This window comes from Homo sapiens, chromosome 7 (assembly GCF_000001405.40).
Source record: "Homo sapiens chromosome 7, GRCh38.p14 Primary Assembly".
NCBI classification, from domain to species: Eukaryota; Metazoa; Chordata; class Mammalia; order Primates; family Hominidae; genus Homo; species Homo sapiens.
The window spans coordinates 82,688,980-82,701,195 of record NC_000007.14 but is presented as its reverse complement, the minus strand read 5'-3'; the positions used below and the strand labels follow the sequence as shown (position 1 = coordinate 82,701,195).

Here is a 12,216-nt window from a genome sequence, read left to right as displayed (position 1 = left end):
TGAACATTTTCAGAATTCTGGAAATTAGCTAAAGTCATGCAACAATCTGAGGAGCATTTACTCTAGAAAAACAATTGAATCTTAGCATGAACCTTGAGCTTTATGGCATTTAATGTGTCTTTTATGTGCTCCTTTCCCCTGCTCTGCAGTAGCCTTGGAAACCAAAAGTCTCATAACTACAGCAGTGAAAACTAGCAGCCTAGCAAGCCCTTGCAGAGGCCAACTGGTCTGGAGTATCCCCAAGCCCCGCCCTCAAAAACCTGTCACTATTTGACCTATATGGCAGCTTGCCAAGAAGCTCCATCCTCAGGGGCTTCTTTTCATTTGACCTGAATCAGAGATCCCTCTACATGAACAGCACTCTTTTCAGGACATTAGTACAAAACACCAAGTGATAATTATTTGGAAAAGCAGGAATTGAACGTCCATAGAGGGCTATGAAAAGCTCAGATGTTGCTGGAAATTTAGAAGTCCACGCATGTACTCAGTGCTGTGCCTATGACCAAGGAAGACAGAAGACAGCCCAAATCTCTTGCCTCTGGTTGACTTTGAGGTTCTGTGCAAGTTGGAAGTGAAGACTGAGAAGGAGTTGTAAATTGCCTTCAGGAGCATTGAAAACGTACTGTTACTGGAAAGGGTTCCCCATCCAGACCCCAAGAGAGGGTTCTTGGATCTTGCGCAAAAAAGTATTCAGGGTAATTCCATAAAGTGAAAGCAAGTTTATTAAGAAAGTAAAGGAATAAAAGAATGGCTACTCCATAGGCAGAGCAGCAGCCTAAGCTGCTGCTTATTTCTTGATTATATGCTAAACAAGGGGTGAATTATTCATCAGTTTCCTGGTGGGCAATTCCCAGAACTGGCAGCTCCTCCCCACTTTAGACTATATAGGGTAACTTCCTAACATTGCCATGGCATCTGTAAACTATCATGGCACTAGTGGGAGTGTCTTTTAGCATGCTAATGCATTATAACTAGTGTATAATGAGCAGTAAGGATGACCAGAGCTCCCTCTCATCACCATCTTGGTATTGGTGGCTTTTAGCCGGCTTCTTTACTGCAACCTGTTTTATCAGCATGGTCTTTATGACCTGTATGTTGTGCCAACCTCCTATTTCATCCTGTGACTAAGAATGACTAACCTACTGGGAATGCAGCCCATCAGGTCTCAGCCTTATTTTACCCAGCTCCTATTCAAGATTGAGTTGCTCTGGTTAAAACGCCTCTGACAATACCCCAACAAACAAACAAACACACACACACACACAAATACACACACACACACACACACACACACACACACACAGCCAGCCCTTGGCAAGAGCTGAGAGATTTATTTATTCAAAGCATTCCGGGGAATCTCTGTTCAACCATTACCTGACCACAAAGCTTAACAGAGCAGAGACTTCAGTGGCTACACATAATAAAGAATACAGACTTTAAAGAATTAGTTCCAGAAATCCACCACAACAAGAAACAGCAAAAATAATAAACCTGAAGAAATATCTAAATTATACAGTTGGTGCATTATATTATTTAACTTTCTAGTTTTTAACAAAATAATTAGGAGACATGCAGAGAATCAGGAAAGTATGGCCTACACACCGGGAAAAAGCAGCCGATAGATACTGTCTCTGAGGAAGCCCTAGACATTGGACTTTCTAGATAACCTTAAACCGTTTTTTATAAATATGCTCAAACCATTTTATGTAAATATGAGGACAACTCATATAAATGCATTTTAATATTCTTTCAATTAGAGAAGAGCACAACTTATTAACAAACAAAGCACTGACATTTTAGGAGATTTTTTTAACTTAATAATATTTAATAGCTAGACATGTTAAATGAAGAAGAATATTAGAAAACAATATTCTTATTTCAGGTAATTACATGAAACTGGATGAGAGACTTGAGGCCAGGAGATTGAGGCTGCAGACCCCATCTTTTAAGAAAACAAATATCTTCCTGGTGTTGCTATAAATACATCTCTGTAACAGGTAGAGTTCACCTGTAAGTGCTACTTTGTATTTTGAAAAAGAGACTAGGGAAAACCAGGTAAGTAACAATGCTAGAGAATGATTAACTTCTAGACTAAAAAAATTATGTAGGTAAGGACATTGCTATTCACTACTGGATCCTGAATACTTTGCCCAGAAACTGTCTGGAATATGTGACAATATTTGTTATAAATGAGTACACATGCATTTAATGAATGAATGATATATCACATTATCATAATCAGGTATTCTATAAAAAACCTGAGATCAAATTGGATTTATTCAGCAACAACAAACTATGAACATTAAAACATAGATTGGGACGTCATGTAAAGCAGGCCACTCATTACGGGTAGTGACCAAACAGAATACGGATGGCCATTTGTCCAGTGTTGCTTTAGGAAGGATTCAGGTTATGAGGAAGATTCATAACTTCTTTTCCAAGATGACGAAAGAACCTTGGACTCACCAAGTCAAACCTCAAATAACAGAAAGTTATTTTCCCTAATTTACAAGGCCTTGCTCATTATTATGCAAATAAGAAGGCACACTTTACCCAGATATTAATACGGGATATTTCCAAGCCTACTACAAGAATGTTTGAAAAAAGTTAGAAATATAATGGGAGTATATAATCAATGGGAATGTTATTAGGAAATAAGAAAATAAATTTGTGTACTTTTTCTTTAAATTATCTATGGATGGATCCACAATAAGGGCTAAAATTTTAAAAAGAGCGACAATATTAAATGTTGATGAGGTCGTAGAACAATACAAACACTCACATATTGTTAGTGGGAGAGTTAAATGGCACAACTTCTTTGAAAAATGATCTGGCTTTTTTGTATAAAATTAATTTATATATGCCTTATACCCCAGGAATGAAAACATATATTTATAAAAAGAGGTTTTTTTTCTTTACATATGGGGTCTCAGTCTATTGTCTAGATCGGAGTGCCGTGGTGTGATCATACCTCACTGCAGCCTGGAACTCCAGACTTCAAGCGATCTTCCCATCCTAACCTCCCAAGTAGCTGGAATTTCTAGTGTCAGTCCTACAAAAAGCCTTGTACAGGAATGTTCATGGCATTTTTATTCATCATAGAAAAAAACTGGACACAGCCCAAGTGTCCATTATTAGAATGAATAAACAAATTGTGCTGTATCCACAATGGAATGTTACACAGCAATAAATGATTAATGTACAACAAGAATGAATCTCAAAAATATTATGCTCAGTTTTTTTTTTAAAAGCCTCACACAAAAGCCACAAACAATTCCATGTGTATAAAGAATACATGAATGATTCCATTTATGTGAAGTTCTAGAACAGGTAAAACTAAGTTATAGCAGAAAAAAAATCACAATGTTCTTTAACTCACAAAGGATGGGGAGGAAATTGATTAGAAAGAGGCATCAGAGAACTTTCTAGGGTGACGTTACTCTTAAGATTGAATATTTCGTTGTACGTAAATTATGTTACAGAAGACATTGACTAGTCTACTTTTGCTGTGCACCAGTATATCCTTGGAGCTGGGCATTCTGGGTGGTAACTTGTAGCATGGAACTAGTAGTCATATGAAGGAAAGAATGAATAAATGAATTTAGAACAGTCGATACAAACTTTATATCTCAGTTTTGACACCCAGTAACTGATGGCTTTAGATAGCTATCTTCCTTTCTTGAAGTATATCAGTTTTATAAAACAATGTGTATACAGAAACATGGAGATAGAATTGATTTCACATAGCTTTTAGCTGTTGAAGGCAAGATGGCATTTAATTAGATATTTCCTCTTGTGTATTTGAAGTTTTGTTAAAGTATATTTCATACAGTGAATAGTTACAAAAATGGAGATTTTAATTTTGGAAAGGTATAACATTTCAGTTTAATTTGCCTTTCTCCTCCCTCATCCTGAAAAACGGAACAACCATCATCATCAGCTTTGTAATTGCAGCCTCACAACGTGTGATGACTCAACACTTCTTCTCTTCACTTAGAATCTCATCTCACTTCCAACCATCCTCCTTTTAAGAACGCAACCAATCCAAAGATGCATCCTGCTTCTGACATCTTGCCCTGAGAACTCCAGAGCCAATGCATAAGCAAAACAATTTGCTCTCACTTTCCCTAATAAGCTGCTGTTTAGAAATTGTCAGTGCAGTGTTCTTCTTTGAGGCATTCCTTGTGGCACACACTGTTATCAGAAAAGAGGTCCCAGTCCGGACCACAAGAGAGAGTTCTTGGATTTCACACAAGAAAGAATTTGAGGCGAATCTGTTAGAAGTATTCAAACCAGCGCAACTCCATCTTGAATAGGGGATGGGTAAGATAAGGCTGAGACCTACTGGGCTGCATTCCCAGGAAGTTAGGCATTCTAAGTCACAGGATGAGTGAGATAGGAGGTCAGCACAAGGTATGGGTTACAAAGACCTTGCTGATAAAAGGATTGGTAAAGAAGTCCAAAACTCACCAAAACCAAGATGGTGACAAAAGTGACTTCATCCTCACTCCTCATTATATGCTCATTATAATGGATTAGCCTGCTAAAAGACACTCCCATCAGCACCATGACAGTTTACAAATGCTATGGCAACTTCAGGAAGTTATCGTATATGATCTAAAAAGGGGAGGAACCCTCAGTTCCAGGAATTGCCCACCCTTTTCCTGGAAAACTCATGAATAATCCACCCCTTGTTTACCATATAATTAAGAAATAACCATAAAAAAAGCCAAAGAGCAGCCCATGTTGCTGCTCTGCCTATGGAGTAGCAATTATTTTATTCCTTTACTTTCTTAATAATCTTGTTTTCACTTTACTGTATGGATTCGCCCCAAATTCTTTCTTGTAAGAAGTCCAAGAACCCTCTCTTTGGGTCTAGATTGGGACTCCTTTCCAGTAACAAAAGTGAAAGCAAGTTTATTAGGAAAGTAAAAGAATAAAGAATAGCTACTCCATATGCAGAGCAGCAGACTGAGCTGCTGGTTGATCATCTTTATGGTTATTTCTTGATTATATGAAACAAGGTGTGGATAATTCCTGAGTTTTCTAGGAAAGGGGTGGGCAATTCCTGGGGAACTGAAAGTTCCTCCCTTTTTTAGACCATACAGGGTAACTTCCATGAAGTTGCCATGGCATTTGTAAACTGTCGTGGCACTGGTGGAAGTGTCTTTTAGCATGCCAATGCATTATAATTAACGTATAATGAACAGTGAGGACAACCAGAAGTCACTTTTGTCACCATCTTGGTGGGTTTTGGCTGGCTTCTTTACCGCTAACTGTTTATCAGCAAGGTCTTTGTGACGTGCACCTTGTGCCCACCTCCTACCTCATCTTGTGACTAAGAACACCTTAACCTTCTGGGAATGCAGCCCGGTAAGTCTCAGCCTTACTTTACCCAACCGCTATTCAAGACGGAGTCAGTCTGGTTCAAATGCCTCTGACAGCACTGTTATTAAAACTCAGTTTGTTTATATAGTAACATATTATTTTACTGTAAAGGGCTTTCCACACATTTTATTGTGATGAAACTGGAAGAAGCTTTCCTTAAGTAAAGGAAACATTAGAAGAAACTCATCACGGGGCCGGGCGCGGTGGCTCACGCCTGGAATCCCAGCACTTTGGAAGGCGGAGGCGGGCGGATCACGAGGTCAGGAGATCGAGACCATCTTGGCTAACACGGTGACACCCCCTCTCTACTAAAAATACAATTAGCCGGGCGTGGTGGTGGGCGCCTGTAGTCCCAGCTACTCGGGAGGCTGAGGCAGGAGAATGGCGTGAACCCGGGAGGCGGAGCTTGCAGTGAGCCGAGATTGCGCCACTGCACTTCAGCCTGGGCGACAGAGTGAGATTCTGTCTCAAAATAAATAAACAAACAAACAAATAAGAAGAAACTCATCACGTAAGTAAATGATCCTTCCAAAATGTACATCATTTTGGAGTAGAGCCTAGCAGGGGATTCTCTTTTAGTAAAATAACATCTAAATTATGTTAGAAGTGAAATAGGAATCTCATAGTTCATGTAGGCCAACTGAGGCCTTCATCTGGAAAATAATTCTATAAGTCTGAGATATTTCTACATTTTAAGTACTTGAACAAAAAAAGTAATGGTAACCTGAAGGTGTGTGAAACCCAGAGTCATTTGTCTGTCTTTCCAGGTACCTCAATATTATCCATCTTACTTCCCAGTGACAGAAACTTAGCTCGCTGCAACTTAGAAGGAGAATTTTTTGAATCACAGAAGGGAATCTAGGACTCATTTATTTTAGTGGGAGGGTTAAATGGTACTTAGAAAATCCTTGTGGTTTGAAAGTGAGAGACTGTAAAGGTGAGACTCGCACCTGTGCGACCCTGACAAGTTTAGAACAGTGCTTCTCAGTTTAACGTGCATATGATCTACCTGGAGATCTTGTTAAAGTGCAGATTGTCATCCACAAGGTCTTGAATGTCACCTGAGATTTTGTATTTCAAACAAGCTCCCAAATAATGCTCATAATTTTGGTCCTTCGTCCACAATTCTCCTAGCAAAGGCCCCATGGAATATCTGCAATACCCTGAAGACCATGATGTTCAGCAGCAACAAGGAAGTGCCACAAGAAAGCATAACCATTGATCATTGACAAAATGACTTGGCTCTATCTGGATTTATGTAAGAAATCCTTTTGTAAGGATCTTTGCAAATTTTCCTTGGTAAGACCAAGATTTCTAGTACTAGCAAGTATGAAGGAGGCATGTTTAAGGTTTTTTTTCCCCATATGTATATGAAAATGTCAATTGTTTTTATCCTTTAGTGCTCAAAGTAGTTTTTACGTAAAAATATGATCCTAGTTAGAAATTTAAATTTGGTGAAGGAACAAAAGTGTTCCTGTATATTAAGTCAAGACTTCGCGAATCTTTTCAATTTAGCTTTGTCAGTCTTTTCCTGTGTGCTCCCCTAATCTCCATAGAGGCTTGAGGCTAAAGTTGTGACTAACGAAGTACTTAACAGAATGATTAAGCAGTGAAAGTCATCTGGTTTCCCTAAAGCAGAATGTAAATTCATTCCTAGTGGAAATCATGGCTTTCAATCTCAAAATACCTTGTGAATTCATAAATCAACATCTCTGGCACGTCAATATTTGAACCAATTTAGGGAGTATTTCTCATGATGACCAACCTACAACTAAGAAATAAGTTATTTTTCTTAATAACTAAGAAATATAGTTATTTAATTTTTAATGTTTAACATGGCATTTTTAATGTTTAAAACTTAAGTTTTTGTTTTCATGTTTCTGATATATTTTATAAAAAGCTCTTTAAAAATTAGTGCATCCATTTAACTATAATTTTCAATGGGGGTTCTTCAGAAAGTATGATTGAAATCAAACCTAAGTATAATAAGGAAAAATACACCCAACAGTTCAGTTCACCCTAGACCCAAAGCTAAAGCATACGTTATTCCTGAACAAAACAAGAGTTACCTTTTTAATGCAACTTCCATTTCCCTATGCTGGAGCAGAGGATTCTCATTATCATTGACTTTATCAGCTTTTCTTGAGTCACAGATGACAAACTTTCCCCTAAAATTTGCATTTCACACCCAGCATCCCTGTAGAACTCTTACACTGGTCAGCATTTGCTTTATTTCAGGAAAAAAATATGCTAGAAACCATGTAAAAAATGAACTCATTCTTCGAAATAGTATTTTTTTATTTTTATTTATTTATTTATTTATTTTTTTTTCTGAGACAGGGTCTCACTGTGTCACCCAGGCTAGAGTGCAGTGGTGTGATCAAGACTCATTGCAGCCTCAACCTCTAGGGCTCAAGCTATCCTCACACCTCAGCCTTTGGAGTAGCTGGGAACATAGGCATGTACCATCATACCTGGCTAGTTTTTAAATTTTTTACAGAGATGGGGGTCTCATTATGTTGCCCAGGCTGGTCTCAATTCCTAGGCTCAAGCGGTCCTCCTGCCTTGGCCTCCCAAAGTGCTGGGATTACAAGCATGAGCCACTGTAATTTTGTAACTCAGTCTAAGTAATTTTTTAAATTACTATGTGTTTTTCAGATAACAGTTCTGGATGATGTACAGTGAGACTAAACATTTGATTTTGTGATTTTAAATAATTCTCTCTATAGAGCTGGGTATCTCAAATCTTGCCATTTTACCATGACAATGTGATTGTTTTTGTAACTACACTTTGAAAGCATATCTGATAATGTTTACATAATATGTCATTATATGGGTGTTTTGTATTTAGATTGGACAGTTATAATATTTTTTCTATTTTTTTGCTTCCTAGCAATAAATTTTTTCTTCTTGATCCTATGGTTTCTTCAAAGAGACATTTATATGTTTTGTTTTTCTTTACTCTTCTACTCTATTACCAGTTCAGTTCTTAACAACATTATTTTACTTGCTCAAGCACTGAAATTTTCTGTTTTTAGCACTTTGTTTTAGAGTTATTAATTGTGTCTTTTAAAGCAATCTAAAGATTTCATTCTTATTCTATTCACGTATTTTAAAAGGTTAGTTAACTTTATTTTCATGCCCTTTTTTGTTTCAAGGACAGACTATATGTGATGTATTTCAAAAGATGTATGGAACTTTGCATTTTTATTCTAATTACCCTTTTTAATGATGCTTAATGTTGTCACACACAGTGAGACCATAAAACACTATACACTGAGGATGCTGCTGTTAATGACTGCTTCAAAGAGCGTAGTTTAGGGAATGTGCAGTATTGCAGATAGCAATTATTTTTTTTCTATCTCTGAGGGATTTTCAATGCAGCAGTACTCAGTGGAACTGCATCTATGATTTTGCTGAGTTTACCTCAAAGACATTTTCTGTTTTATTCATTTTTTATTTGCCAGGCAGCCTTCAAGCAAAAAATTTACATGAGAAAACCATAGTGTACTGACTTTTAATTAAAACTTCACACTCAAAATGCATTGGGATTTAATTTAAATATTTAATTGACACAATTTTTAAATAAAAAAAGAATATGAGACTAAGTTATGGCATGGCTAAGAGACACTCGATTTAAACATGACAAGTACACTGATGGTTCACTAATGGGTTTTCCTGACCTGCAGACCACTCAGTTTTTCTTGTAAATGAATAGAATTAATAGAACGAATACCTTCTTATGTATTTTGTAGTACCTAAGACTAAAGTCAACCAATATTGAAATCATTATCCCTTCATTCTCCTGTATTTTCACCTATTTGCCCAAACTTGAAGTTTTGCTTTCTCCTACTTCCTCTCTCTCCTTGTTTAAGAATAATCTAGTATCTTTCATAAAGATGGCTTAGCATAAAGCTCTGCTTACACAGGTGCAACACTAATTTGCTGAGTTAATCAGAATTTCTTTTTCCACAGCTTAACCAAGGAATTTAGAAGAACAGAAAAAGTAGTGGAGTCAAATAAATTCCAGAACACGAATAGTAGACATTGTAGAATCAGAAATAGTAGAGATTAATACCTTTCCTCTCCATCATGAGGGGCATGGCCAACATTCATAACAAAATGAGAGCAGCAGGAGGTAGACAAATGCCTAAGTAGACAGAGGAAGGTCCCGAGTGAAACCCCACCTTCAATCCAAAATCAGCCCGAGACCTGCAACCTAGAGTGAGATCTTCTATTCCTGTTTGCCTGCTCTTTCCCAATTGGTTCTTTCTGAATAATGCTTTTAAACTAACCAAAAGTTACCTATTCCAATGCTACCTTCGTCCCACCCCTCCCCATCCTGTGCTTGTAAAAACCCTAGACTCATCCACACCGGGGGAGAAACCACCTGACTTCGGGTGGGGAAGCTCTCCTGTGACCCCTCTCCACTGAGAGCTGTTTTGTCACTCAATAAAATTCTTCTCCACCCTCCTCACCCTTCAATTGTCAGCATATCCTCATTTTTCTAGGACACAGGACAAGAACTCAGGAATCACCAGACCCATAATATGAGCTATAACACAGATGGGCTGGGGCACACCTGGCCCAGCTGCGGGCTGAGCCAGTGTGCAAGCCAGGCACAGCCTGGGTGGGCTGAGTGGGTGGGCCACCTCCTGCAGCAAGTAGCATGGCCAAGCAAGGCCCAGGCGGGGGCGTCGCCGGCCGGCGGTTCCCAGCTGGTGAAGTGACTGAGAAAAATCCTGCATCAAAAAGACAGGTTAACAAGAAAAAAGCACACCAGTTTATTCAAAATTTTATGTGACACTAAAGCCTTCAGAAATGAAGACTCAAAGACTCAGGGAAAAGTGTCTATTTTTATGCTTGGGTTTGGTGAGGCATGAACAGCTGTGTAGCAATGTGATTGGACAAAAGGGGAAGACCTAAAGATAATAGACCGAGTAGGGAAACTCAGCAAAGCTGTACGGATTCCTCTTGGGCTGTCTGTGGTATCATTTCTTCCTTCTTGATATGGGGCAGGACCCATCTGGATTGAGGGTCTTATGACCTACTATTAAAGAGAGGTAGGTCAGAGAATTTCTTTATAGTCAGCTCCTAGAGAAAAAGGTGGAGGAAGGTTAGAGCAATATTTCTAGATTTTATGGCTTGCTATGGGGCAAAGGGATTCTAGTTTCTATGACCACTTTGGGGAAGAGGAATTCTGGTTTTCAAGATTCACTTCAGGAGAGAATGAGGGGTGTGAGATAGGAGGGCAGGAGAAGGTCAGTGAGACCTTGGTTCTGAGACTGCTACTTAAGCCTTCCAATGTTCTTTAAAGTACTCAGCATACAAAAGCACCATACTTTGAGATATCATTTTTCTGAACCCCAAGAAGATCAATGAACATTTTCTGTAGAGGGGGAATAAGATCACATGAGAACCACAGTTGCACTGAATTCAGAATGGTGTTGCAGTACCTTATGAAGTATGGTTTTAGCAATTCTTGTCTCTTCACTGAAAGTTGCGTGTGCAGCTTTTCTGGGACTCAATGAGACCTGGCTGCATAATATAATTCCTGTTTTCTTATGCAGTTTTCTTATGTAGTTTAGGAAACCTGAGCAAGTCTCTCCAGGTAACAATCAAAAGAGCCCATCCGATGCACAGTTAATTCTAAACCATAAATATTAAAGGTATATTACGTAGGTAGCGGTATCAAAAGGACATTGAGTGCTGGCTCTGACACTTACCTGCTGCATGACCCTAGACAGATTACTTAACCTCTCTGTATTTCAGTTTTCTTAAGTATAAAATGATGCTAATGAGGAAGAAAATCTAATAAACCAATTAAAAATCAGGCAAAGATTTAAATAGACATTTCTCAAAAGAAGACATACAAAATGGCAAACAGACATATGAAAAGGTACTCAACATCTTTTTCCACAGCTTAACCAAGGAATTTAGAAGAACAGAAAAAGTAGTGGAGTCAAATAAATTTTTTGAGGAGATGGATATTCCATTTTCTGTGATGTGCTTATTTCACATTGCATGCCAGTATCAAAACATCTAATGTATCCTATAAATATATACACCTACTATGTACCCACAAAAATTAAAAATTATAAAATAAAATGATGATAATGATGGAGTTTACTTCATGGAAGTTTTCTGTTTATATGATTGGCTTTTTTTTCTCTCTAACAGATGTTTTTGTTTTTCCTTTGATTTGAAAGAGTATTAAAATATACTACGAATAGTAATTTGTATAGGCATTACACATATTTGGGGAAATATATTTTATACACTAGCATCTTGATACTCCTGGCCTTGTCTATAGATAAGAATTATTCTGATCAATCCACAAACTGCTACAACATTAATCAAAGAGATTGTTGTGTACCATTGTAATGAAATTAAATGGAGAAAAACTGTTTCCATTCACTTTCTAATTTCTATGATTTATTTTTTCTAATAAATTTCAAAGTAAAATGGTGCTTGCAGGAAGACCACACCCAAAAAAACCTACAATATAAATAGAGATATTTCGTGCCATTTTTCCAAAAGCTACTTATATATTTTTTCTTCTATATTAAAGGAAAAATGCAGCAACATTTTCCACTTTCACTTAAAAATGAACTGTAATTATTTTGATCATGTCATTAATGAGCTTGAAATTGATTGGTAAAAATAAATATCATGTTCTAGTCACTGGTGTGTTAAGCCAACTCATAATGACTCTTGGAAACCAATTTAGGAATTTGTAAGCCAGTTGACATCATGTTGGTGACTTGAAAATAGGAAATAGTGAAAGTACTTACAGTAAGGAAATCAGAAAATGCCACAAATCCGGGC

The 12,216-nt window shown here is 37.6% G+C and overlaps 1 long non-coding RNA gene across 3 annotated transcripts; it reads left to right on the top strand.

The window, feature by feature from the left end:
- Nucleotides 1-5,319: 5,319 nt before the first annotated feature.
- On the top strand, nt 5,320-10,487 carry LOC105375376 (uncharacterized). Of its 3 annotated transcripts, none has more exons than XR_927712.1 (3): nt 5,320-5,373; nt 5,500-5,647; nt 6,523-7,221. It is a non-coding gene; the product is annotated as an uncharacterized LOC105375376 (long non-coding RNA). The 3 variants fall into 3 exon arrangements; XR_927714.2 differs by lacking the exons at nt 5,320-5,373; nt 5,500-5,647 and adding exons at nt 5,862-5,899; nt 9,364-10,487 and having other exon boundaries at nt 6,523-6,646; XR_927713.2 differs by lacking the exons at nt 5,320-5,373; nt 5,500-5,647 and adding exons at nt 5,862-5,899; nt 9,364-10,487 and having other exon boundaries at nt 6,523-6,687.
- Nucleotides 10,488-12,216: the final 1,729 nt, after the last annotated feature.